This window comes from Homo sapiens, chromosome 7 (genome assembly GCF_000001405.40).
Source record: "Homo sapiens chromosome 7, GRCh38.p14 Primary Assembly".
Lineage (NCBI taxonomy): Eukaryota > Metazoa > Chordata > Mammalia > Primates > Hominidae > Homo > Homo sapiens.
Genome location: NC_000007.14, coordinates 39,715,921 through 39,742,810, shown reverse-complemented (window position 1 = coordinate 39,742,810; position 26,890 = coordinate 39,715,921). Strand labels below are relative to the sequence as shown.

At 44.1% G+C, this 26,890-nt stretch overlaps 1 long non-coding RNA gene across 1 annotated transcript in view, besides 8 other annotated features; it reads right to left on the bottom strand.

Moving 5' to 3' along the window:
- The window catches only part of LINC00265 (long intergenic non-protein coding RNA 265), a 61,056-nt gene extending 51,813 nt beyond the window's left edge, over positions 1-9,243 (bottom strand). The window contains exon 1 of the long non-coding RNA NR_026999.1: positions 8,767-9,243. This is a non-coding gene — a long non-coding RNA (long intergenic non-protein coding RNA 265). The remainder of the gene's footprint in view (positions 1-8,766) is intronic.
- Positions 7,248-8,019: an enhancer, noted in NCBI's record as "H3K27ac hESC enhancer chr7:39774391-39775162 (GRCh37/hg19 assembly coordinates)". NCBI's record gives its function as "activates a minimal SCP1, AML or CMV promoter by ChIP-STARR-seq in primed H9 embryonic stem cells {active_cell/tissue: H9 hESC(primed)}" and the evidence as "EXISTENCE:reporter gene assay evidence [ECO:0000049][PMID:30033119]".
- Positions 8,224-9,423: an enhancer, noted in NCBI's record as "P300/CBP strongly-dependent group 1 enhancer chr7:39772987-39774186 (GRCh37/hg19 assembly coordinates)". NCBI's record gives its function as "activates an origin of replication core promoter dependent on BRD2, BRD4, P300/CBP, MED14 and CDK7 cofactors, with strong dependence on P300/CBP, by STARR-seq in HCT116 cells {active_cell/tissue: HCT116}" and the evidence as "EXISTENCE:reporter gene assay evidence [ECO:0000049][PMID:35650434]".
- Positions 9,211-9,290: an enhancer, noted in NCBI's record as "active region_25883". NCBI's record gives its function as "activates an Ori minimal core promoter by ATAC-STARR-seq in GM12878 lymphoblastoid cells {active_cell/tissue: GM12878}" and the evidence as "EXISTENCE:reporter gene assay evidence [ECO:0000049][PMID:35858748]".
- Positions 9,581-9,650: an enhancer, noted in NCBI's record as "active region_25882". NCBI's record gives its function as "activates an Ori minimal core promoter by ATAC-STARR-seq in GM12878 lymphoblastoid cells {active_cell/tissue: GM12878}" and the evidence as "EXISTENCE:reporter gene assay evidence [ECO:0000049][PMID:35858748]".
- Positions 9,741-9,840: an enhancer, noted in NCBI's record as "active region_25881". NCBI's record gives its function as "activates an Ori minimal core promoter by ATAC-STARR-seq in GM12878 lymphoblastoid cells {active_cell/tissue: GM12878}" and the evidence as "EXISTENCE:reporter gene assay evidence [ECO:0000049][PMID:35858748]".
- Positions 18,319-18,879: an enhancer, noted in NCBI's record as "H3K27ac hESC enhancer chr7:39763531-39764091 (GRCh37/hg19 assembly coordinates)". NCBI's record gives its function as "activates a minimal SCP1, AML or CMV promoter by ChIP-STARR-seq in naive H9 embryonic stem cells {active_cell/tissue: H9 hESC(naive)}" and the evidence as "EXISTENCE:reporter gene assay evidence [ECO:0000049][PMID:30033119]".
- Positions 18,880-19,442: an enhancer, noted in NCBI's record as "OCT4-NANOG-H3K27ac hESC enhancer chr7:39762968-39763530 (GRCh37/hg19 assembly coordinates)". NCBI's record gives its function as "activates a minimal SCP1, AML or CMV promoter by ChIP-STARR-seq in primed H9 embryonic stem cells {active_cell/tissue: H9 hESC(primed)}" and the evidence as "EXISTENCE:reporter gene assay evidence [ECO:0000049][PMID:30033119]".
- Positions 20,016-20,517: an enhancer, noted in NCBI's record as "H3K27ac hESC enhancer chr7:39761893-39762394 (GRCh37/hg19 assembly coordinates)". NCBI's record gives its function as "activates a minimal SCP1, AML or CMV promoter by ChIP-STARR-seq in primed H9 embryonic stem cells {active_cell/tissue: H9 hESC(primed)}" and the evidence as "EXISTENCE:reporter gene assay evidence [ECO:0000049][PMID:30033119]".

Sequence of the window (26,890 nt, the reverse complement as noted above, 5' to 3'; positions counted from 1 at the left end):
GTTAGATGACTGGCCATAATGCACACCATTAGAAAGAGGCAGAGCTGGGGCTCGAACTCAGTCCGCAGCCACAAAGCCCAGTCTGAGGCCTTCAGTCCTACCCCACTGGTAGCCAGAGCCGCCTGAGCCCCCAACTTGCAGCCTCCAGCCTCTTCACACCCACCAACCCTTCCTGGGTCTCTTCCAGGTGGGAGCAGTACCGTCCATGATCATGAATCATGAATCACCACCTGATCATGAATCTCCAGGGCTTTGTCCACAGAAGTCGGAATGGTGCTTCCGACTGCTCTAAGGCAGAGTGGGAAGACCACGTCTCAGCGCCCTCCAAGGCCGGTGTGTGCTACTACCGCGCGTGGGACTCTTGACATCTAAGTATACTCAGCCCTCACTGCAGCACCGCATCCCACCAGCAGGAAGCGCTCCTCCTTCTCCAAAGAATGAATCTCCTTTCCTCTTCAGGGCCTTCCTCATGAGGTTCCCAGGCCTTGAAAGCTCTTGCCCATGGTGGCTTATCTACGATCCCCTCTCTATGGGCTGAAAGCTCTATGCATGCTTTTTGTGCACATCTGTTGGGTTTACTACCCTCTGTTTAGCACTTACGTGCTAAAGATTTAGTACCTGGTACATAATCACCTGTTGAGTGACTCAGCTTTTAGGTGTTCTTTTCTGGCAGCCAAATAGAGACTTCCTGCAGCAGCTCCTGAAGTGGGAAAGCTTTCAACACCACCATGCAATTTGGAATTTCTCCAAAATTCTGTTACCTTTGTACCACCATGAAATGAAAAGCCAACAGGACACATTACAAAGCAACTATGATCATTTTTAACCACTATTATTATTATTTTGAGACAAGGTTTTGCTCTGTTGCTCAGGCTGGAGCACAGTGGCGCGATCTCAGCTCACTGCAACCTCCGCTTCCCGGGTTCAAGCGATTCTCCTGCCTCAGCCTCCTGAGTAGCTGGGACTACAGGAGCGCGCCACCATGCCCAGGTAATTTTTTGTAGTTTTAATACAGATGGGGTTTCACCATGTTGGCCAGGCTGGTCTCCAACTCATGAGTTCAAGCAATCCTCTTGCCTCAGCCTCCCAAAGTGCTGGGATTACAGGTGTGAACCACCGTCCCAGAACTTTTTGATAATTATTTACAAATAAAAGAGGTAAGTAAAATTTCCTTAAGACACTGAAGTTCTAAAAAATATTTATTAGTTTCTTTTACAATGTGTCATATAAAGACCTCCCTGGAAGAAGATCCTATTCACAAAAGCAACCAAAAAACACAAACTATCAAAAAAAATAAACAACCAAACATAATCAACATAAACAACCAAAGACATAAACTACCTATGAACAAACTTAAAAATAAATGCAAAGCTGGGTGAGTGGCTCAACACTTGTAATTCCAGAGGTTTGGGAGGCTGAGGCAGGAGGATCAATTGAAGCTAGGAGTTCAAGGTTAGTCTGGCAACATATCGAGAACTCCCTCTCTACAAAAAAAATAGAAAAAGAAAAATAGCCTGGTGTGGTGGTGCAAGTCTATGGTCCTGCTACTTGGGAGGCTAAGGGGGGAGGATCACTTGAGCCTCAGACTTTGAGGCTTCAGTGAGCTACAATCATATTGCTGCACTCCAGCCTAGGCAACAGAGCAAGCCCTCATCTTTAAAAATATAAAAGTAGAAATACATAAATGCATAGAAATGATGTGAAGAAAACTATAAAACTTTCCAACATACATGAAAATTTTAATAATACTGAATGACAATTCTCAAAATCAAGATGTTCCTAGTAGCATTATCCATAATAACCTAAAATTAGATAAAATCCAAATATCCATCAACAGTAGAATAGATGAATAAATTGTTGTGTATTCACACAGCAATAAAGAATGAACTCCTGCTACACCCAACAACATGGATGAATCAGACATAATGATGAATGGAATAAGCCAGTCATCAAATAATACATATTATATGATCCATTTATCTGAAGTTCAAAAGTAGGTAAAACAAATCAAGGGTGATAGAAATTGGAAGACCGGTTACCTTTGGAAGAAGTAATGATCGGTAGAGGGCACAAAGGAGGCTTAAGGAGTGATGGTTACACGTGAGTATTCACTTTTTAAAAATTAAATATTAGCTGGGCGCAGTGGCTCACACCTGTAATGCCAGCACTTTGGGAGGTTAAGGTGGGTGGATCGCTTGAGCTCAGAAGTTTGAGACCAGTCTGGGCAACATGGTGAAACCCCATCTCTATAAAAAATACAAAAATTATCTAGTCATGGTGGCACATGCCAGTGTCCCAGCTACTTGAGAGGCAAAGTGGGAGGATCACCTAAGCCCGGGAGGTCGAGGCTGCGGTGAGCCATGATCATGCCACTGCACTCTAGCCTGGGTGACAGAGACCCTATCTCAAAAAAATAATAATAATAATTTAATATTAGAGCTTATCCTCCAAAAATACAGCAATTAAAATGAATGGGCTACCACTATACTTGACAACATGAGTAAGTTTATAAAGATAATATTGAGTAAAAGAAATCAGACACAAATGAGTACATACTGTATGATTACATTTATATAAAGCTAAAATAAGTCAGAATTAATCTAGTATATTAAATGTTGGACGAGTGCTTACGTCTGGAAAGGAGGTGCCGTGAAGACAAGGAGGGGGCTGGGCGCGGTGGCTCACGCCTGTAATCCCAGCACTTTGGGAGGACAAGGTGGACCACCTGAGGTCAGGAGTTTGAGACCAGCTTGGCCAACATGGCAAAACCCTGTCTCTACTAAAAATACAAAAATTAGCCGGGCATGGTGGTGCACGCCTGTAGTCCCAGCTGAGATCGTGCCACTGCACTCAAGCCTGGGTGACAGAGTGAGACTCCGTCTCAAAAAAAAAGACAGGGAGGAAGCACGAGAGAGGTTCAGAGTATTGGTGTTTCTCTATATCTTAATCTGGGTCAAATATATAGGTATTTTTTTCCTTATTTACATTGAAGGACTGGAGTGAGTCATATTTATACAGGTGCATTTTTATGATTTTTCATCAAACTATAATTTGTGCACTTTCAGTATATGTGATATACTTTAATTTTTTACTGTATGTATTTGAGGTGTATGACATGATGTTTTGATATACTGACTTATCTTGATAGACATAATGAACTGATTACTATCAAGCAAATGAACATACCCATCATCTCATATAGTTACCTTTCTTTTTCGTGATGAGAGCACTTCAAACCTACTCTCTTGGAAAATCACTGATATACAATATTATTGGCTATAGTTTTCATGCTGTACATTAAATCTATAGCCTTACTTATCCTACAAGACTGCAACTTTGTTCCCTTTGACCTGCATCTTCCCATTTCCTTCTATCCTGCAGGGCTCCCACCCTCCATAACTACCATTTTAATGTTTCTGTATATTTTATTTATGTGTGTATAGATAGATAGATGATAGATAGATAGATAGACAGATAGATAGATAGATTTAAAATTTACAAAAAAAAATGCATTCCCTTTGACATTGCAAGTCTACTTTTAAGAACTTTTCCTAAGGAAACAAAACAAAAGCTCCCAAAGATGTACAAAGATATGCATGGAAGCATTATTTACAATAAATAAAAATTAGAGACAACCTAAATGTCTAATGATAGGGGAGCCAGATGAATAATTTATGAGACAGACAAGTACTGAAATACTATCCAGCCAACTATAGATGACATAGACCTACATTTATGGATCTAGAAAAAGGCTCACTGTAACAGCTCAGATGACAAAAACAGGTAAATATATTGGTGTTTTCATAATACCAAAATGTTTTGTGTGGTAACTTTGGGTGGGGGATTATGTCTGATTATTTTGCTTTTTCTTATATATTTTTCTTTTCTTTTTATTTAAAAAATTTTTTTTCAAGACAGAGTCTTGCTCTGTCACCCAGGCTGGAGTGCAGTGGCACAATCTTGGCTCACTGCAACCTCCACCTCCTGGGTTCAAGCGATTCTCCTGCCTCAGCTTCCCAAGTAGCTGGGATTACAGGCACGTGCCATCATGCTCAGCTAATTTTTGTATTTCTACTAGCGGTGGGGTTTCACCATATTGGCCAGGCTGGTCTCAAACTCCTGACTTGGTGATCTGCCTTCCTTGCCCTCCCAAAGTGCTGGGATTACAGGCATAAGCCACTGTGCCTTCCCTTATATATATTTTTCTAACTTATCTATAAAACTTGTATCTTTACAGGCACGGTGGCTCACGCCTGTAATCCCAGCACTTTGGGAGGCTAAGGTGGGTGGATCACTTGAGGTCAGGAGTTCGAGACCAGCCTGACCAACATGGTGAAACCCAGTCTCTACTAAAAATACAAAAGTTAGCCAGGCATGGTGGTGCATATCTGTAATCCCAAGTACTCAGGAGGGTGAGGCAGGAGAATTGCTTGAACTTGGGAGGCAGAAGTTGCAGTGAGCCAATATGGCACCACTACACTCCAGCCTGGGTGACAGGCAAGACTCTGTCTCAAACAAAACAAAACAAAACAAACAAACAAACATATATATATATATATATATATATATATATATTTTTTTTTTTTTTTTTTAGCTATTTTACTCACTATAAGACAGCCCAGCTATTGATAAACAGATGATTGCCTCCCCTAAGAACCTGTAGATAGATCCAGAATGGTGTTCCAGCCACAACCACGTTAGTCATGGTACTTTGTAGGTATGACCTCAATTTTAGAGCTTCCTTTTCTAGACCCATAAAAGTGAAGATAGTTTTGTTTTGAGGGCTTAAAATTATTCAACATATGTAAAGCATTTTTGTTAACTGACACACAAAAGACACCAATAAATGTCATTGCCCTGCTTTTGGTGTATCCAAGGAACTTAATTTCAGAATTTGGGTTTCAGATACACCACATCATTTCAAAAGATGCCCAGTTTTCCAGGGCATTAATAAATAGTCTGTAGTCTCTCTTGTTTTGATAAAGTATTTTTGTCTTTGTGTCAGTTACTTTGGATAAAAATTGCCAACAGTTCCTGGACCCTTTTCCTTCAAGAGAGCAAAAGAAATGGGATTGGTGGGTTAGGACAGATATTCTTTTTTTTTTTCTTTGAGGCAGGGTCTCTCTCTGTCGCCCAGGCTGGAGTGCAATGGGATGATCTCGGTGCACTGCAACCTCCACCTCCCAGGTTCAAGCGATTCTCCTGGCTGAGCCTCCCAAGTAGCTGGGTCTATAGGTGTGTGCCACCACACTTGGCTAATTTTTGTCTTTTTAGTTGAGATGGGGTTTCATCATACTGGTCAGGCTGGTCTCGAACTCCTGACCTCAAGTGATCCACCCACCTTGGCCTCCCAAAGTGCTGGGATTACAGTCATGAGCCACCGCACCTGGCCTCAGGTATTCTTGTTTAATCCTGTCAGCAGGTTGAGTTGCCGCACTTGTGCTCCAAGTTTGATATATAAAGGATCAACATCTGAAAGGGTTTAGAAGAAGCCAGACTGTTTGTGAGGTTTCCACCTACGCCCCTCTGGGCTCTGATACTGTAACAGCATGGAGGTGGCATACGTCTCAGGATCCCTGGAGAACAGCAGGTGGGCTCTTTGACTGTATTTTTCTATTCAACATAGTTAACCAAGTGACTTCAGACAGACCAACCGACTATGCCACACTCAACAGTCCCTGGCCTCAAAGCTTCTGCCTCCTAAGTTTCTTTTTTTTTTCTTTCAATAAGCCCAACCAGAAGGACAAGCCATAGGCATAAGCATAGCATTTGGTGGGTAGAGAGGAAACTGAAGTCCCTTCCAAACAAAACTCCATGTCCTCAATATGTTAAGAGGTACCTCCCCCAACATGGCTAGTCCTAGTATAAATCCAACGTCTTGCTGATGTTCCAAAGGAGAAAAATGCAACTGTCAGAAGCCTGATAGACTATGAAGCATATAAGTACATGAAAGCTACATAGTTGGCTGGGCACAGTGGCTCACACCTGTAATCCCAGCACTTTGGGAGGCTGAAGCAGGAGGTTCGCTTGAGCCCAGGAGATTGAGATCAGCCTCAGCAACATAATGAGACCCTGTCTCTATATAAAATAAAAATAAAATATTAGCCAGGCATGGTGGCATGGTGGCATTATCCTAGCTACTCCAGAGGCTGAGGCAAGAGGATTGCTTGAGCCCGGGAGGTTGAATCTGCAGTGAGTCGTGATTGTGCCACTGCACTCCAGCCTGGGCAACAGAGTGAGACCCTATCTCAAAAAAAAGAAAAAGAATACTACATAATTTATGAAACAGAAGTTCATTTATACTGTGACAGTGTGTAAATATTGCAATTCTTTCAGTAAGACAGAAACTAAAAACAAAGGTTAACTTACGAATATGTTCATATAAAGAGACCACATTGGCAAAAGAAGAGATATGTGTGGAAAATCTTTCTATTTTATCCACTAAAAAAGCTACCCCATTTTCTCACCTCTCCAAACGATAATAATAGCTAAGATTTACATACCACTTAGTAACGCTTCATATGCATTCACTCATTCATTCCCCATAACTACCCATGAGGCAGATAGTATTTTTCTCACTAGTTTACAGATGAGGAAACTGAGGTCGTTAACCATCAGCCCTAGCAGCACGAGCCTTGCTACTTCACTTTGTCATCACTCAGCTCTTTCAGTGGTTTTTGAGGCCTGGCTAAAGGCCAGTCTCCCTGGTCTAGGATTATTGGTTCTGAGATAAGAACTGCCAGACCTCCATGCACCCTAGGGATAGCTTCCTGCCACCAGCTGAGATCAGTGATGCTGGGTTATCCATAGCTAAAAAGGGCTGTCATCACTGAGACTGTCGGCATCCCTGCAATCTGGCTGGCTCCTGCCTGGTTCACCCACCTCCAGGTTGTTAAGTTAGGTCAGAAATGGGGGGCTTGTCTCTCACTGGTTTATTCCTCTTGAGAGCTACTTAGAGAAGTGGAGAGATCAATACTCTTGAATGGAAGAAGGACATGAGTCCATAGGTCAGGAGAGATCTGAGCTGCCAGTAAAGAGGTAGGAACTATCTGCAGAGAGGGTACTTGAGGTGAGAAGCCAGCTTAGGCCAGTACCCACAGGGATGCCAACATCTAAGCATCTGGCAGATGACTTGGTGTTATTTCCTTAAGCTCCATAATTACCTCTAGTTTGTTATTCTCCTTGCATCCAATTGTGTTTCCATAATAAAAACTGCAAAACCCTTAATTATGGCAAAGTTCTGTAACCTTGTCTTTGGGAATAGTGAGGACAGAGGGAATGTAAGAGACAGGGTCCCATTTTACAGCAGATTACAGTAAATCTAACTTTTTTCCTATTTTATTATTTATTTATTTTTGATTGTTGTTGTTGTTGTTGTTGTTGTTTTTGTTTTTTTTTTTTTTTGAGACGGAGTCTTACACTGTCACCCAGGCTGGAGTGCAGTGCCATGATCTCAGCTCACTGCAACCCCCGCCTCCCAGGTTTCAAGCAATTCCCCTGCCTCAGCCTCCAGAGTAACTGGGATTACAGGCGTGCACTATGCCCGGCTAATTTTTGTTTTTGTTTTTTTTCAAGACCGAGTCTTGCTCTGTCATCTAGGCTGGAGTGCAGTGGCACGATCTCAGCTCACTACAATCTCCACCTCCTGGGTTCAAGAGATTCTCCTGCCTCAGCCTCTCGAGTAGCTGGGATTACAGGCACACACACTATGCCTGGCTAATTTTTGTACTTTTAGTAGAGACAGGGTTTCACCATGTTGGCCAGGCTGGTCTCGAACTTCTGACCTCGTGATCCGCCCACCTTGGCCTTTCAAAGTGCTGGGATTACAGGTGTGTGCCACTGTGCCTGGCCTAGGGTAAATCTATATATAAAAAAACTGATGCCTGGAACGGGAAGGAGACTAGCAAATTAAGGTACAGACCTCTCAAGATCTACTGGAGGGGAGAGTGAAGTGACCAGGGTAAGAGAGAAGCAAGCTGAAGCCCTAGGAATTCCAGAAGTGGGAGGTGAGGTGGAGAGAGGAAGACCAGGAAGCCAGACTAGCTTAAAGAGGAACGAGTTAACAGAAGAATAAGCATTATGACCCAACACAGAATACAAATTTAATAAGAACCCATTTTCTTTATTAAAAATTAAAGACATAATGGCCATTTATTAAAAGCCATGTGTTTGGCACTTTTTGTAGTGGTTTCACATAATTCTAGGGGCATCCCACTGAAGAAGGGTTTACAATCCTCATTCTACAAATGGGGAAGCAGAGGCTCTGAAGGATCTCCTTGTGAATTGCTAATTAGAAGCTCTGGAAATTACCTATGTTCTGACTCAGCCACTTCCTCACTGTGGGACCTGGGGCACGTCACTTCATCTTGAACCCTTGAAAGACACCTGGCAGCTGAGCGACCCCTCTGACTGGGAGTCACAGGACTCTAGGGGTTCTAATGTCCCTCCACTGCACTGTCCCCCTGCCCCCTGCATTCTGTCAACCTTAAACAATGAAGTTCAGAAAATGTAAATAAGCATAGAGTTTATTTAAACACAAAGATTGAGGATGGCCATCCAGGAAAGCGCTGACTCCAAACAAATGATGTCAGCGTTTCCAAGGTGAAGTTAAGGTTTCAATTATATAGACGGAGGCAGGGACATTCCAGCAGGATTACAAATGTGCATGCAAGTTGCATACCTACAACGATGTGGTTGGTTTCAGATTGCTACATTCCAAGGAAGATTATGACTGTGAGGAGGGACAATGATCTAAAGGGGTCTTACCTTGGATGCTACTTGGTCTTCTTAATTATTTACAGCGGAAAAAGGCAGAGGTTGCATCTGCATGCCACATGACTCAGGCTGCATAGCCACATTCCTCTCAAGGCTCGGGATCATGTAAAGTTCCAGCAGCTTTAAGTTGTAATTCTTTTAAGTTTGATTTAATTTAACAGTTCCAAAATCCCTGTTTTACAGGTAAAGAAACTGAGGCCAGCAGCAAGGGCAGGTCTAGCATCCAGGTTCCCTCTTAAGTACCTCTGATTCTGAAGCGGAACCTGCTTACAGAACATCACGGGCGGCTTCAGGGTCTATATAAGAAAAACAGATGCCCAAGCGGGAAGGAGACTAGGAGGCCGTGTTGAGAAAACCAGACCCAGCCACTGGCCTTGAAGTCCGGATGGAAGCTTGGCGCTTGCCTCGCCTCGTCTTCCTTCCGCCCTGGTGCTGAGCGGCTAGTCCAGAGCCGGCAGGATCTGCGCTTCCGGTTTCCGGGTTCTCCGGGTGTAGCCGCCTCTGCCCCGGGGGATCCCCTCTCCTCCAGCAGGCCGGGGAGGCCTACGTGGGCGGCTTCGTTGCAGCCAGCTTGCCGTTGTCACGGAAATCTCCTCCGGCGTCTCCAGGGACCACAGCGGGAGAGGAAATAGCCACCAACGAGATAGCGGGGGTCTCGTGACGTCACGGTAGCTGGGCAGGCTTCACAGCGTTAGCCCGCGAGCTCAGCCGATCCCTGGAGTCTCAGGCCGGGGGTTGGGGTTCTGCTACAGGGCGAGGAGTAAGAGTGGCAGTCTGAGAGACGCAGCTTCGTCGCCTCCAGGGTGTCCCAAGGCACCTCCTATCAAGTTCCTCCAAAATGCACCTCTCCCCTCCCCCTCACGTGCTCCTCCTGAATTCCATTTCGATGCAGGCACCGCTGTCTACTGTAAGAGGAGCGGCCCTTGGGTGGGGGAGAGTGGAAGAGGAACTGTCGTTGGCAGAGAAGACTTCAGGAGAAATCCGGTCCCTGGCTTTCGCTTCTGCAGGGCCAGGCCGAGTGGGGTTCAGGCAGCGATGGGAGCTCAGGAGAAGAAGGGCTTTTCCTAACGGGGGAGGGTGGGAAAGGGAAGTGCCACCCTGGAAAACTGCTCCACTAGTTGCAGTGTGCATGGCGGGAAGGAGGAGAATTGGCTAGAGCTGAGCTGCAGGGAGCCTGAATGACACCTTGTCTTGCTGCAGATGGCCCCAAACCCTGCGGTGCTCTTCCGCAGGTGGTCATAGGACCTGGCTCAGTCCAGCTTGAGGAGGGTCCCCGGAAGGAAGTCATTCCTCCTTCCCTTCTCAGAATTAATAAGAACCAACTATGAGCCAGGTCCTTTTCCAAGGCCTGGGGATGCAGTAATGAATAAGAGAATAAGGTTCCTGCCCTCAAGGAGACTGGCTCTAGGACGTGTTAAAACTTAAATTCCAAACTCTCCACCCCAGCCTCTGCTCTGGAAGTGATCGTTTGTACTGAACAAAGTGAACAGATTATAACCAGACATGGCCCTAGAAAGGGTATCCATTCTTGATGGTGCCCTGACCATATCTGGAAACCTGCTCCTTTGCAGTGCTCGGGGCTGAGGTCTTTGGGCCGCCTCCTGAGGCCCCAGCTTGGTGTCCATCCTGTCCCATCCTCTCTGTATGTTCTCTTCACCTTCAGTTTCTGCTTCAAGGATTCCTCCAGAAAGAACGGGGCTGGGCTGGAAGTGGTGTATCCTAATCTCTCGTCCCCAGGAAGGAGTACATGGGCTTGAGACTTACAAGGTCTCAGGGTTTCAGGCGTTTGGAGGCTGATCAAGAAAAAAGATAGAAACACTAGAGGCAGGCACACAGAAGCTTTACTGGGCAGTGCTTGGATAGGGATGCATAAGAGGGGAAGTTCCTCATAGCGTGAGACCATCCACAGCTTTAAGATGGGGGAGCCATCTTCCAGAATGGGAGAGTTTAAGGCATCTCCTGGGGGAGAGGGTGACCAGAGAGGGGGCTTCCCTGTCTAGGTGATGTCCCTCAGCAGCATGGCAGGGAGTCTCCAAAGGGAAGCAGCAGCTTGGGGTCTTATAACTACAAAGCTATGTCGTATCTATTGCTAGCAAATGTGTGTGAGGTTTTGCAGGGTATGCAAAGCAGGCAGCCTCTAAGTGGCTAAAAATATGCTTCTTTGGACCATTTTAAAAAATAACTGGATGTGTAGAAATTTGAATGTGGCACTGGCAGGCTTTTGAGCTAACAGGTCTCAGCCCATGGTGAAGAAATTAACAACCTAGGGACCCACACACAGAGGCCACCTTTGGCTCATCGATATAACACATGGACTGAAGGAAGAGAGAAAGGTCTGCTGCTGGCCTTGCCTCTTGGCATGACCTTGACCCAGGGTCCTCTCGGATAGTACATGAGGGACATCTCATAGCAGGCATTCCCACCCTCCAATGACTCTTAAGCCTGCCATTCAAGTCCTTCATGATCTGGGTCTGCTGAGTCTTACACCCTGTGCTGAGTGTGGTAATAGCGTCATGGGCAAGGTAGTCTTCAATGGGTGAGACAGATCTTTCCTCATGTCATGTCCCACTCAAGAACCTTAACAGCTCCCTATTGTCCACTTTGTCCTGAACACAGGCCTAGCCAGATCCACTGATTCTTAGTGCCATGTCTGCACTGCCTTGGCCACTTGCAGAGGTCATTCTACTGCTTTCTGGGTAAGTAAGTTGTTGAGTTCTTTGGGACTTAGTGAGATGTTCTCAAGCCTGCTGGCCTCAACGCCTGTGGCAGACGCTCCACTTATTCCCCACTTTCTGTTCTCTTCTTCTTCTATGATAACAGAATCTCACACAGCTGCCCTGAATAATATCTGTATTTCCTGGCCTCTCTTGCACCCAGGTGTGGCCAGGTGTGTTAACCTCCGAGGGCTGCTCTACCCAAGCACTGTGAATCGAGTGACTTAAAACAACAGAAATTGATTGTCTCACAGCTATGGAGGCTAAAAGTCCAAAAGCAGGGCTGTGCTCTCTCTGAAACCTGAGAGGTGAGTCCTTTGTTGCCTCTTCTGGCTTCTGGTGTTTGCCAGCAACCCTTGGCATTCCTTGCCTTATAGACACATCACTCCAACCCCTGCCTCTAGCATCCCATGGCATCTTTTCCCTCTGGGCCTCTTTTCCTCATCCTATAAGGACATCCATCATATTGAATTAGGGCCCACCTTAATGACCTCGTCTTTTTTTTTTTTTTTTTTGAGATGGAGTCTCGCTCAGTTGCCCAGGCTGGAGTGCAGTGGCATGATCTTGGCTCACTGCAACCTCCACCTCCCAGGTTCAAGTGATTCTCCTGCCTCAGCCTCCCGAGTAGCTGGGACTACAGGCGCCTGCCACCATGCCTGGCTAATTTTTGTATTTTTAGTACAGACGGGGTTTCACCATCTTGGCCAGGATGGTCTCTATCTCTTGACCTCGTGATCCGCCTGCTTCGGCCTCCCAAAGTGCTGGGATTACAGGCGTGAGCCACCGCGCCCTGCTGATCTCGTCTTTTTTGTTTGTTTGAAATGACAGTCTTGCTATGTTGCCTGAACAGGTCTCAAACTCCTGGGGTCAGGCAATCCTTCCATTTCAGCCTCCTAAGTAGTTGGGATTACTGATGCACGCCACTACACCCAGCAGTGACCTCAATTTAACTTGATTACATTGGCAAAGATCCTCTTTCCAAATAAGGTGACATTCACAGGTACCAGTGGCTGGGACTTCAACTATCTTTTTGAGGGACACAATTCAAACTCTAACAAGTGACTAACTTCTGGTCAAACATTGTGATGGAAATACATAGGAGCTCCAAAAACATTTCATAGGAAACAGCATGTGTGTTCCCTTTGCTCTTTCTTTGTCTCTCTCTCCATCCTGCTGCCCAGAACATGGATGCTACCATCTTGAATTATGATGTCGAGGCCACACAAGGCAGAGAAAAGCCTGGGCTCTCAACAGTGTAGAACACCTTTCCAGCCAGCCCTGGGAAACCTACCTGGACTTTTGCTTTTTTTTTTTTTTTTGAGACGGAGTTTCCCTCTGTTGCCCAGGCTGGAGTGCAGTGGCACGATCTCGGCTTCCTGCAACCTCTGCCTCCAGGGCTCAAGCGAGTCTCCTGCCTCAGCCTCCCAAGGAGCTGGGACTACAGGCGTGCCCCACCATGCCTGGCTAATTTTTGTATTTTTAGTAGAGGTGGGGTTTCAGCATGTTGACCAGGCTGGTCTTGAACTCCTGACCTCAAGTGATCTGTCCGCTTTGGCCTCCCAAAGTGCTGGGATTGCAGGCGTGAGCCACCGCGCCCGGACTTTTTTTTGTTTTTGTTTTAGAGACAAGATCTTGCCCTGCTGCCCAGGCTGGAGTGCAATGGTGTGATCATGGCTCACTGCAGCTTTGAACTTTTGGGCTCAAGCCATCCTCCCACCTTCTTGGCCTCCCAAGTAACTGCGACTACAGGTGTGAACCACCATGCCTGGCTAATTTTATTTTTATTTTGTAGAGACAGAGTCTTGCTATGTTGACTGTTCTTGAACTCCTGGCCTTAAGCAATCCTCCCATCTTAGCCTCCCAAAGTGTTGGGATTACAGGCATGAGCCACTGTGCCTGGCCTTTTACTACAAATAAAAATAAACTTATAAGTGTATAAATCCCTTATTATGGAGTTTCTATCCCTTGCAGAACCCAGTTGTAGCACACATACTTCATGCTATCTCAGACTTGGAGCTTATTAATGAGGTTTGATTTCTCCTTGGAGTTACCAAGGGGAATAGAGCACAGGTGCTTTTGGTTTTAGATCTTCAGATTTATTTGGGGATTCTATCATGCATTCTCCTCAGAGACACTCACCAGTGCCTAATCTGGGACTTCTTTTCTGGCTTTTTTTTTCTCCCTTCACTCAATTCAGAGATTCTTAATCTCTTATCTAGAGCCGGAAAAAAAAGTATTCTCTTGCATTCATCCAAAACTATTAATTCTGCCATAAACTGCCTGCCCTGAGTTCCTTGGGGCTTTGACGGTTGACATTCAAACCTTTGTCTCTGCTGGCTGCTGTGGCTCATGCCTGTAATCTCAGCACTTTGGGAGGCCAAGGCCGGCGGATCTTTTGAGGTCAGGAGTTGAAGATCAGCTTGGCCAACATGGTGAAACCCCGTCTCTACTAAAAATACAAAAAAAAAAAAAAAAAGTTAGCTGGGCATGGTGGCATGCGTCTGTATTCCCAGCTACTCTGGAGGCTGAGGCAGGAGAATCGCTTGAACCCGGGAGGCAAAGTTTGCAGTGAGCCAAGATCGCGCCACTGCACTCCAGCCTGGGTGACAGAGTGAGCTTCCGTCTCAAAAAACAAAACAAAACAAAACAAAAAAACCTTTGTCTCCTTTTGTTGTCTCAAAGATGTACTTTGAAAACCAGAAATTCAGAATGGACATTTTTGCGTTTCTGTGCCCCTCTTTCCCTGGGACCGGGAGCCCGGAGTGCTGTAGTGGATGCCCAATAGGGGAAAGGTCATAGGGACCAGGAATGACCGGGGTGAAGACACATTGGCTAGTTTATCAAATGATCCTGCCACATGAGCATTCACCTAGATGTAGTATCAGAAAATGCCAATACAGAAAACATGAAAAGTCTTCAAGAAACTTTCCCCCCAAAAGATTCTGTGTTCAAGTAAGTTTGAGAAACACTTGGAGCTTTTAATATGCTAATATTCACTGTGAGATGGATAGAGTACTATATTTCCAAAATTTACTCCCCAACTCCCCGAACCACTTACTAACACATCAAAGCACACACAGGGTTCTATGTTCTAAAATGCATTTCTGTGTAAGTACACGGGGTGTGTGGATGCAGAGATGATGTCCGGGAGGAAACAGAAGATGCAGGTACAAACAGTCGCCTCAGGGAGACGAGGTGGGAAGGAGACCCCTTTTCACTGCGTATCTTTTGGTATTTTTGGCTTCTGTTTACCATGTGCATGTATTAAAATAGATGAAATTAATTTGTGGAAGCTTAGATGAGCCCAAAGCTGAAAATGTATTGACATCATATTTAACTGAATGCTTATGAATGATAACTACCGGACTTACTGAGGGTCATCTTAAGAAGTATCCCTCATTGGTGAGGATGTGGAGAAAAGGGAACCCTTGTACACTGTTGGTGGGAATGTAAATTAGTACAGCCATTTCAAAAACCATGGAGGTTCCTCAAAAAACTAAAAATAGAATTACCATATGATGCAGCAATCCCACTTCTGGGTATATTTCCAAAGGAACTGAAATCAGTGTGCCAATGAGAAGCCTGCACTCCCATGTCCATTGCTGTGTTACTCACAATAACTAAGATACGGCAACAACAAAAGTGCCCATCAATGGGTGAATGGATTTTTTAAAGGGGGCAAATATACGTAATGGAATACTACTCAGCCTTTAAACAGCAGGAAATTCTGTCTTCTGTAACAGCATGAATGGGCCTAAAAGGACCCAAGAGAAATAAGCCAGGCACAGAGAGACAAATACCAAATGATCTCATTTATAGGTGGAATCTAAAAAAGTTGAACTCAAAGAAGTAGAAAGTAGAATGGTAGTTGCCAGAGGCTGGGCCAGTGGGAGTAGTGGGGAATGTGGGTGGGAAAAGGGGATGTTGGTCAAAGGATACATTTCAGTTAGACAGGAAGACTAGGTTCTGGTAATCTATTCTACAACCTTAATCCTAACCCTAACCTAATTATCTACAGCATGGTGACTACAGACAATGTATTGTATATTTCAAAATAGCCAAAAGAATGGATTTTAAATGTTCTCATCACAAAGAAAAGATGAGTATCTGAGGTGATGGATATGCTAATAAGCCTGATTTGATTACTGCACAACATACATATATTGAAACGTCACATTGTACCCCATAAATATATATGGTTATTATTGTCAACTAAAAATAAAATAAAATGAAAAATGAAGAGAAATATCTCTCAGAAACTTTTCATTGAACCTGATATAAGAATGGCATTGAAGATGCTATAAAAGAAGAAGCAAGAAAAATAAAAACAAAAAATGAATTTAACTGGTGTGGTGTGGAACTGACGCTACTAAACTTTTTTTAAAGCTCTAATGTGCAGCTGGAGTTGAGACCTATTGGGATTTAGAGAGATCTTTAAGAGGTCCTCACTCAATAGCCATTTCCCTTGTATTAGACAAGGTACTAGACAATGGGAAATTTTAAAGTGATACTCAGTCTCTATCCTCAAATGGCTCATGGAGATGGAAGTCACTTGGTTTCTTATCAAAGATGTGTCCAGAAACAGCCTTTTCTGCACCCATTGAGCCCAGCCCCCTTGTGTATGTGCTAGGGAAGGGCTTGGCATCAAAGTGAGGCCAGAGATGAGCTTGCCCAGATAATGACTAGAAGGAGCTTATCAAGTCAGCCTAGGAAGCTAAAGAGCTTTGGGTCACCTGCAACCCTGAGGGCAGCCTGGTCCTTCCAGGCACTGCAGGGAGTTCTACATCCCGGGTGACATTCTCAGGCCTAGGAAGTGCAGGAGGGGGTCAGCTTGAATAGCAGTGGCTCCTGGATTTTGCTCTAAAAAAGCTTTTCCACTTGCCAGGCCTCTAATCACATTTTTTTTTAAGCATCTCAGATGTAGAATCACCCAGCTTCTATTTTAAACTCCAGCAAATGGAGAAATCACCGTTTCAGGGAAGAGAGCATGTCAGTTTTGGACAACTCTAATTTTATTTTATCTCAAACTTTCTATTGGAAATAATTATAAACTCAGAGAAAATTACAAAATTAGTACAGAGTCCTTTCCCTGCATAGTGATGCCTTCCATGGGCATAGTGCAATATCAAAGCTGGGAAATTTGCATTGGCACGTTACTGTTTTAGACTACAGCTTTTATTTCACCATTAAAAAAATCCTTCATGCATTTTGTGTGTATGTATATTCTTCAATGCAATTTTATCCCATGTAGAAATTTGTGTAACCACCACCACAATTAAGATGCAGAACTGTTCTGTCACTGCAAAAGACCTCTCTCCTGCTACTTTATACTCACACCTACTCCTTCACTCCTCACCCCTCCCCTGGAAACCACTTATCTTTTTTCTCCATCTCTACATAGACAATGTTATATAAATGGAATCATTCAGGATGCAATCTTTAAATATAACAGCTTTATTGAGATATAATTAATATAACATGTAATTCCTCCATTAAAAGTGTACAATTCAATGGTTTTTAATCTATTAAAAGAGTCATGCAACGATCACCACAATCAATTTTAGGACTTTTTCATCACTGAAAAAGGAAGCCTTATACCCATTAGCAGTCACTCCCTATTTCTCCCAAACTCTCAATCTTAGGCAACCACTGATCCACTTTCTTTTTTATTTATTTTTTGACTGTGTGCTGAACTCTTAATTTGCTTTCTGTACCTATAGATTTGACTATTCTGGACATTTCATATAAATAGAATTACACAACATGTGGTCTTTTGTGACTGGCTTCTTTCACTTACTATAATGTTTTCCAAGTTCATGTATGTTGCAACACGTACCTCATTATTTTTTATAGCTGAATAATAATCCAATGGATAGATCATATTTTGTTTACCTATTTGTCAGCTGATGAACATTTGGATGTTTCCATTTGTTGGCTGTTATGAATTATGCTACTATGAACATTTGCATACGAGCTTTTGTGTGGACACAGTGTTTTCATTTCTCTCAGGTATACACGTGGAAGTGGAATGCCAGATCATATGACAACTCTATGTTTAACTTTTTCAGGAACTGTCAAACTATTTTCCAAAAGCTGTACTATTTTACCATCCCACCAGCAGCGTATGAGGGTTCCAATTTCTCCACAACCTTATCAACACTTATTATCATCTATTTTTTTTTTTTTTGAGACAGGGTCTTGCTCTGTTGCCTAGGATGGAGTGCAGTGGCGTGTGCATGGCTCACTACAGCCTCAGCATCCTAGGTTCAAATGATCCTCCCGCCTCAGCCTCCTGAGTAGCTGGGACTATAGGAGCATGCCCCGACACCTGGCTAATTTTTAATTTTTTTGTAGAGATGCGATCTCATTATGTTGCCCAGGCTGGTCTCGCAAGCAATCCTTTTGCCTTGGCCTCCCAAAGTGCTGGGATTACAGGCATGAGCCTTGATTATAGGATGGCTATAATCAAGAGCCATCTGTCCTAATTATAGCCATCCTACTCGGTGTGAAGTAGGAGCTCGCTGTGGTTTTAATTTGCAATTTCACTAATGACTAATGATGTTGAGGGTCTTTTCATTTGCTTATTAGCCATTTGCCTATATTCTTTGGAGAAATATTCAGATTCTTTGCCCATTTTAAAATCGATTTATTAGTCTTTTTATTATTGAGTTGTAAGAGTTTTTTTAATATATGCTAGATATAAGTCCTTTATCAGATACACAGTTTGAAAATATTTTTTTCCATTCCATGAGTTGTCTTTATGCTTTCTTCATGGTATCCCTTGAAGAACACAAGTTTTTAATTTTGTTTTGGCTTCTGTTTATGAGACAGAGTCTTGCTCTGTCACCCAGGCTGGAGTGCAGTGGTACGATCTCCACTCACTGCAACCTCCGCCTTTCGGTTCAAGCAATTCTCCTGCTGCAGCCTCCCGAGTAGCTGGGATTACAGGCGCCTGCCACCACACTCGGCTAATTTTTGAATTTTTAGTAGAGACGGGATTTCACCATGTTGGCCAGGTTGGTCTCAAACTCCTGACATCAAGTGGTCCACCTGCCTTGGCCTCCCAAAGTGCTGGGATTACAGTTGTAAGCCACCACACTTGACTACTTTTTGTATTTTTAGTAGAGCTGGGATTTCATCATGTTGGCCAGATTGGTCTTGAATTCCTGACATCAAGTGATCTGCTCACTTCAGCCTCCCAAAGTGATGGGATTACAGGCATGAGCCATTACACCCAGCCCAAAAGAGTCTGTTTTGTCAGTCTTTTTTTTTTTTGAGATGGAGTTTCACTCTTGTTGCCCAGGCTGGAATGCAACTGCACACGATCTTGACTCACCGCAACCTCCGCCTCCCGGGTTCAAGGGATTCTTTTGCCTCAGCCTCCCGAGTAGCTGGGATTACAGGCATGTGCCACCAGGCCTGGCTAATCAGCTCACTGCAACCTCCGCCTCCCAGCGTGCACCACCATGCCCAGTTAGTTTTTTTTTTTTTTTTGTATTTTTAGTAGAGACGGGGTTTCTCCATGTTGGTCAAGCTGGTCTCGAACTCCCAACCTCAGGCAATCCACCTGCCTCGGCCTCCCAAAGTGCTGGGATTACAGGCATGAGCCACCGCACCCAGCCTTGTCAGTCTTAAGAACTCTGTTTTAATGTTAATGTTGGTCAACTGTTCTGAATTCCAAAGGGAGGGAGGTACAATGAGGCATCCTGGACCCCTCCTTCCCATCGTGACCTTAACTAGATGTTCAAGTTTACATTGGAATGCCCTTGGCTGAGAGGGGGTCCATCAGTTGATTGGGGGGGCTCAGAATTTTATTTTTGGTTTATATTTTTCACGTATAGTTTGAGGAAGAAGTTCAATTTTATTTGCATGTGGATATTCAGTTGTCCCAGCGCCATTTTGTTAAAAAGACTTTCTTCCCCTTTTGAATTATTTTGGCACCCTTGTCAAAAATCAATTGACCATAAATGTAAGGGTTTGTTTCTAGACTTTCAAGTCTATTTCATTGATCTATTTGTCTATTCTTATGTCAGTACCACACAGTCGTGATTACTCTAGCTTTGTAATAAGTTTTGAAATCATGAGGTGTGACTGCTCCAACTTTGTTCTTTTCTAAGATTGTTTTGACTGTTCTGGATCCCCTGAATTTCCATATGAATTTTAGAATCAGCTTGTCAGTTTTCTTGAAAAAATTAGCAGAGTTTTGATAAGAATTCCATTAAATATGTAGATCATTTAGGGGAGTATTGCTATCTTAGCAATACTGTATTAATTCTTCCAAACCAGTATGTTTTCTATTTATGTAAGTCTTCTGTAATTTCTTTCAGCAAATTTTTGTAATTTTCAGGCTATAAGTTTTCCAATTCTTTTTTTCTTTTTTTGAGACAGAGTCTTGCTCTGTCACCCAGGCTGGAGTGCAGTGGCACAATCTCAGCTCACTACAACCTCCACCTCCTGGGTTCAAGCCATTCTCCTGCCTTGGCCTCCTGAGTAGCTGGGATTACAGGTGCACCCCACCACCCCCAGCTAGTTTTTGTATTTTTAGTAGAGACAGGGTTTCACCATGTTGGCCAGGCTGGTCTTGAACTCCTGTCGTCGTGATCCAACCTCCTTGGCCTCCCAAAGTGCTGGGTGTGAGCCACTGCGCCTGGCCAAGTTTTCCAATTCTTTTGTTAAATTTATTCCTAGGTATTTTATTCTTTTGAAACAATTATAAGTGGAATTGATAATACGACTTAAGAAGAAATCACTTACGCAGATAGTAAGGGTATGGGAGTCCTCGACAAGGCTTTTCTCTTTAATGAAAAGCAGCCCAAATCATTTTCTATCAAAGAGCAGCCGGTAAAGCTGAGCTGCAGACATAGACAAGCAAGCTGGGAGCTTGCAGGGGTGAATGCTGGCAGGAACTGGGGACTAGACATGTTCAAGGTGGAGGCTCCATCTTCCCTTCTCAGCCAGACACGCGTACAGTAAGGAGCAGACAAGATGGCGCAGTCCAAGGAGAATTCATCTGCATAATAAGATTAGAGTGGGGCAACCAGCCTTCCCCCGCTCTCCACCGCCCCCACCCCCACCCTCCGCCCCACACTATGTAAATGTCATACCTGATCAAACCAATCTGTGAGCCCTATGTAAATCAGACACCGCCTCCTCAAGCCGGACTATAAAATAAGGTACATTTGCGCCAGCCAGTCTTTTCTGCTCAGAAGACCCCTCTCCATATGTAGAAAGAGTTGTTTTTCTTTATCTTCTCTTCTGCCTATTAAACCTCCGTTCCTAAACTCCTGGTGTGTGTCTGGTCCTAAATTTCCCTGGCATGAGACGACGAACCCTAGGGTATGTAACCCAGACAACGTAGCCACTTCAGAATTATTATGTTTTAAAAATCACTTTTGTTGGGTTGTTTATAGCTGGTGAATAGAAATGGAATTGACTTTTGTATATTGATCTTCTTCTACTCTGCAATCATACTGAACTAGTTTATGAGTTCAATTAATTTTTAATGGATTCTTTAGGATTTTCTGTACACAGCATTATGTCATCTGCAAACAGAGTTATATTTCTCTCTTCCTGTGGTGTTATTTTATATATATATAGGTTTTTATCCGTGGTTCCTGGCCCATAGCCTTTTATAGTCTCTTGTTATAATGTTGGGTGTGTTAGGCCTCAGGAAACAGAATCTCTTGCCTGCCCTCCTTTCACCTGTCCCAAGGCAGGACTCTAATCTTCCCAACTTTCTGATTGTGGGTCTTATGACCCTCCTCTGAGAGGATCCTGCCTCATACCCTGGGGGAAGGAATGCTGACTTCCTGAAGCTTCCATAGAAACTCAAGATAATTGGGTTCAGGAGTTTCCAAATAGCTGAAAATGTGGAGGTTCCTGGAGGGCGGTGCCCCAGGGAGGGCATGGGATCCCTTAGCCCGTTCCCCCACACCTTGCCCTATGTACCTCTTCATCTGTATGCTTTGTAATATCCTTTATAATAAGCTGATAAATGTGTTTCCTGAGTTCTGTGAGCTGCTCCAGCAAATTAATTAAACCCAAAGAGGAGGTTGTGGGAACCCCGACCCAAACCCAGTGGTCAGAAGTTCTGGAGGCCCAGGTTTGTGGTTGATGTCTGTGGAGCAAGGGTAGTCTTGGGGACAGAGTATTTAACCAGTGGAATCTGATGCTATCTCCAGATAGTGTCAGACTTGAATTGGAGGACAACCAGCTGGTGACCCCTGCTTGATAGTAGGGAGAAACTCCTAAAATTTTGTCACAGAAGTCTTCTTCTATATAGATGATTATTGTTGTGGTGTAAGAGTAGAGGAAAAATGCGGTTTGAGAGAGTTTTTCCTGACATAATTTGTGTCAGTGAATTGGGATTTGCTGGAAAGGCCCTGACCACAGAAACGTGGTTTGGGAAAAGAAAGAAAAAAAAGGGTGGGCGGGGGGTGGGGCAGTGGTGAGAAACCTTTGATTCCTGGGTGGCCACGTGGTCACCCATGTATGAGGCGGCAGCTGTGTTGAGAGTGTAAACCGAAAATAAAATTCTAAGCCCCGTGACCGACTGAATGGGCCTACTCCCTCTTGGCTAAGGAGATCACACCTAAAACCTGAAAAACTAGTTTAGGCCATGACAGGAATGAGGGTGCTGATGTTAGAGTAGGCAGCTAGGCAGACATGAGAAGGGCAGGAGAGGAGGTTTCCCCTGCCCAATTGCCAGCAATGTTAGGCAACCATCAGGTGAAGGTGGTTGTTAAACTGCCTAAAATAATAATTGGTAGTCTCCCAATAGATGAAAAACACCTGAAGCTGGTGATCAGCAGCTTCCCAAAAAGATCTGAGGATTTGGGCAAGCAGGCTTAATCATGCACACTAAGGGGCAAAATGGCAGAGTTTCACTGGTGTATGACCTTCTTCTAGGAACATTTGACTGGTGTGGGGAAAAAATGCCTCAGATGAGCACATCGCACAACTTCAGTAAACACACTGCTCATGTGGCCCCTCTCAAGTGCTGACAGGCCACTGTGTGTTTGGACAGCCCCCGCAAGGAAAGAATCAAGGGAGAGGAAACACAAACCCTGGAACCATGCCAGTGTATAAAACCCCTATTTGGCCAGGAGTGGTGGCTCACACCTGTAATCCCAGCACTTTGGGAGGCTGAAGTGGGTGGATCACAAGGTCAAGAGATCGAGACCATCCTGGCCAACATGGTGAAACCCCATCTGTACTAAAAATATATAAGTTAGCTGGGCCTGGTGGCATGCGCCTGTAGTCCCAGCTACTCGGGAGGCTGAGGCAGGAGAATTGCTTGAACCTGAGAGGCAGAGGTGGCAGTGAGCCAAGATTGCACCACTGCACTCCAGCCTGGTGACAGAGCGAGACTCCATCTCAAAAAAAAAAAGAAAAGAAAATTCAAGGATTGGATGGGGCACTTAGATCTCTCAAGTCACCTGCTTGGCCTTCTTCCAAGTGTAATTTGCTTCCTTTTGTTCTTGCTCTAAAGCTTTTTAATAAACTCTCACTCCTGCCCTAAACTTGCCTTATTCTCTCACTCTGCCTTATGCCCCTTTGCTGAATTCTTTCCTTTGAGGAAGCAAGAATCAAGTTTGCTGCAGACCCATCGGATTCTTACTGCCAATACAGACATGCCTCATTATACTCTCCTCCCTTTAGAATTCAGGCACAATTGACCAGCATTAACATTAAAACAGAGATCTTAAGACTGTCAAAACAGACAGTTTGTAGCAATAAGATACCAAAGTTCAAACCAGTGCTAATATAGCATCACATGACAGCAGGACCTGAAGAAAATCCAAAATATATTTCTTTGACATATTTTGAAATGACCCTCAAAGCCTCTTTGTGTGTGGGGAAATTTTGCGTATGTAAAGAGTCTCTATTAACATAGCTAGAGCTTTCCCATTCCAGGTGCTCCCAATCCTGAAGAGACTCACTGAAAGTCTAGCATCTTTTAAAGGTCTACATAGGAAACATTTGCCATCTATTATCTCTAAGGTCGCTACCTATGAGACTTCATCTATATAATAGGAACCTTGGTCTCCACAACCCCTTATCTTAACCTAGACACTTCTTTCTATTGAGTCCAGGTTTTTAGGTAATAACTCTTTCAACTAATTGCCAATCAGAAAATCTTTGAATCCATCTATAACCTGAAAGCCCCCTTCCCCACTTCTCCAGCTTCAAGTTGTCCTGCCTTTCAAGACAGAATTAAGGCATGTATATGAGGTATCAGTTGATGTCTTATGTCCCCCTAAATTGTATAAAATCCAGCCATAACTCAACCACCTTGGGCACATGTTCTCAGGACCTCTTGAGACTTTGCCTTGGGCCATGGCCACTCATATTTGGCTCAGAATATTAAAAATTTTAGAGTTTGTCTTTTTTCATCAATAAGGTAAATGTTTCCAGTGGAATTTAAAGATGTATCCAACTCCCAGGGAGTTGGGTCACTGGAGGCATAAGGAAATGCAAACTAATAAGAAAAAAATAAAATATTCAATCTCTTGGCTACTGTTATCTATAATAGCTAAAATGATAGTAAAAGAGGCTGGGCACGATGGCTCACACCTGTAATCCCAGCCCTTTGGGAGGCCGAGGCGGGCAGATCATGAGATCAGGAGATTGAGACCATGCTGGCTAACAGGGTGAAACCCCGTCTCCACTAAAAAATACAAAAAAAAAAAAAAAAAAAAATTAGCCAGGCGTAGTGGCGGGTGGCTGTGGTCCCAGCTACTCAGGAGGCTGAGGAAGGAGAATGGAATGAACCTGGGAGGCGGAGCTTGCAGTGAGCTGAGATCGCGCCATTGCACTCCGGCCTGGGCAACAGAGTGAGACTCTGTCTCAAAAAAAAAGAAAGTAAAAGAGAGTGTGAAGTTGGGTCTTGAGGCTGGACCAAGCTCAGATGTAGGTCTGAGCTCAGGCCACTAGCCTCAATGCTACCCACAAGTGGGAACATTATGCCAGGACAACAAAAAGTACCTCTAAGAACTGTGGTTACCAAGAAGGTATTCAACGTGGGAGAAGGACGAAACCAAGTAACGACTGAAGCCAGAGGGAATACTGTGAAGGAATTGTTTCATTTTGTGGATTGGTATCATCAGCTTCCTAAGGCATCTTTACAAAAATGGATTATGAGAATAACTAATTCAGGAGCAGTATCTTTGGTTTTAAATGCTGAGAGTGGAAGAGCATGTTTGGGTTGATGCAGGACCCATAGCTCACTATTGAACAGTCACAGATGGGTATATATGATCTGGACACACAGGAGGTTATGCCTGAGGGAACAGCCAGCCTGGTGCACTGGATAAAAGCCACTGTGAGGTCTGTTTACCCTGGGAAGGGAAACTGTTTAACTTCACCTATAAAGGCCAATGGACACCCCAGATGAGGCAGCTGATTCACTTCATATGCAAGCCATGTGCAATTGACTCTATGACCTCAGGGATATTCACCCACTGAATATGTCTGCTACCCAGGTCATAGATAATTAATTTTATAATTTTTTATACAGACAGTGTCTCATCATCTTGCCCAGGCTGGTCTCAAACTCCTGGGCTCAAGCCATCCTCCCTGGCTCAAGACATCCTCCCACCACAGCCTCTCAAAGTGCTGGGATTACAGGTATGACCCACCATGCCCAGCCCTATTTTTAATTTTAATTTTGTTTCTTTTTTTTTTTTTTTGGAGACAGAGTCTCGCTTTGATGCCCAGGCTAGAGTGCAGTGGTGCGAGCTCGGCTTACTGCAACCTCCATCTCCTGGGTTCAAGCGATTCTTCTGCCTCAGCCTCCTGAGTAGCTGGGACTACAGGTTCATGCTGCCACACCCAACTAATTTTTGGTATTTTAGTAGAGACAGGGTTTCACTGTTGTTGCCCAGGCTGGTCTCGAACTCCTGAGCTCAGGCAATCCACCTGCCTTGGCCTCCCAAATTGCTAGGATTACAGGCATGAGCCACCGCGCCTGGCCAATTTTGTTTCTTTTAAAGACAGAGTTCTCACTATGTTACCTAGGCTGGTCTCAAACTTCTGGCCTGAAGTGATCCTGCCCCCTCAGCTTCCCAAAGCATTGGGATTACAGGCATGAACCACCAAGCCTAGCCTATTCTCTCTACTCTTAGGAATGGATCCAAAATTTTCCATAATAAAAAGTTAAAATGTTAACACTGCTCAATGAAAGTTAATGGCTTAGTGACTTGCATTTCTTTCTTCTTTCTGTCATCTTCAATGACACTTCCTATGTTGTTTTACACTGTTCACAGAGTCTGCCTCTCTTTCTCCTGAAGTGTCCTGGTGGGCAGGAACTGTGTCCTGTTCACAGTCTTATCTCTGCAACAACGCCACTCACTCCAACAAATACATGATGATGTAAAATACATGTCCTGGGGACATGATGGTGTGTAAAAGCAGATATGGTTGCCAAATCATTGAACTCAGAGTTCAGGGGAACCCTCAATCATTAATTAAATAGTTGTGCCCGTAAATGTACAATTGCTCCTAAGTGTTGCATAGGAGGATATGTAGAGTTAACAGGTGGGGACTCGATTAGTTAGGCAGCTCAGGGAGGCCTCCCTTAGAAAGTAACAATCAGCCTGAGGGATAAGAAGCTTCAGTCTGAAGGATGAGAAGGAATTAACCTTGTTTATCAGTTAGGATGCTTTTGGCTTCAAGTATTGAAAACCGTAACTTAGTTGACTCAACAATAAGGAAAATGGATCATCCCATATAAGATGCCCAGAAATAAAGAAACTTCAACATTGGACAACTCAGTAGTTCAACAATGTCATCAAGAACACAGGTCCCTTGGGAGGCTGAGGTGGGAGGATTGCTTAAGGCAAGGAGCTTCAGACCAGCCTGGACAATGTAGCAAGACCTCATCTCTACAAATATTTTAAAAATTAGCCAGGCATGGTGGCATGTGCCTATAGTCCCAGCTAGTTGAGAGGCTGAGGTGAGAGGATCACTTTACCCAGGAGTTTGAGGCAGCACTGAGCTATGATTGCATTACTGCACTCCAGCATGGTTGACAGAGCAAGATCTTGTCAATAATTAAAATAAACAAACAACAACAACGACAAAAACCCACGTCCCCTTCATCTTCCTCTTGCTATTGTCAGTGTTGGCTCATTTCCCCTCATATTGCAAAAATGGCTTTCACAGTTCCAGATGTTATGTGCAGAGACAAACGTGACCAACAGAAGAGGAGCCACTACTCCCTGTGCATCTACATTTAGCAGAAAATCTTCCCATGAAGTCTTGAGACAGCATCCCAAGTCTTATTGGCTAGAATCACATGATGCCTAGTCCAATCGATGGCAAGGGTAATGGAATCATCCTATTTGCTTAGACCAATCAAACATGATTTACTCCCTGGAGCTAGAATTGAGCCTTCAGCC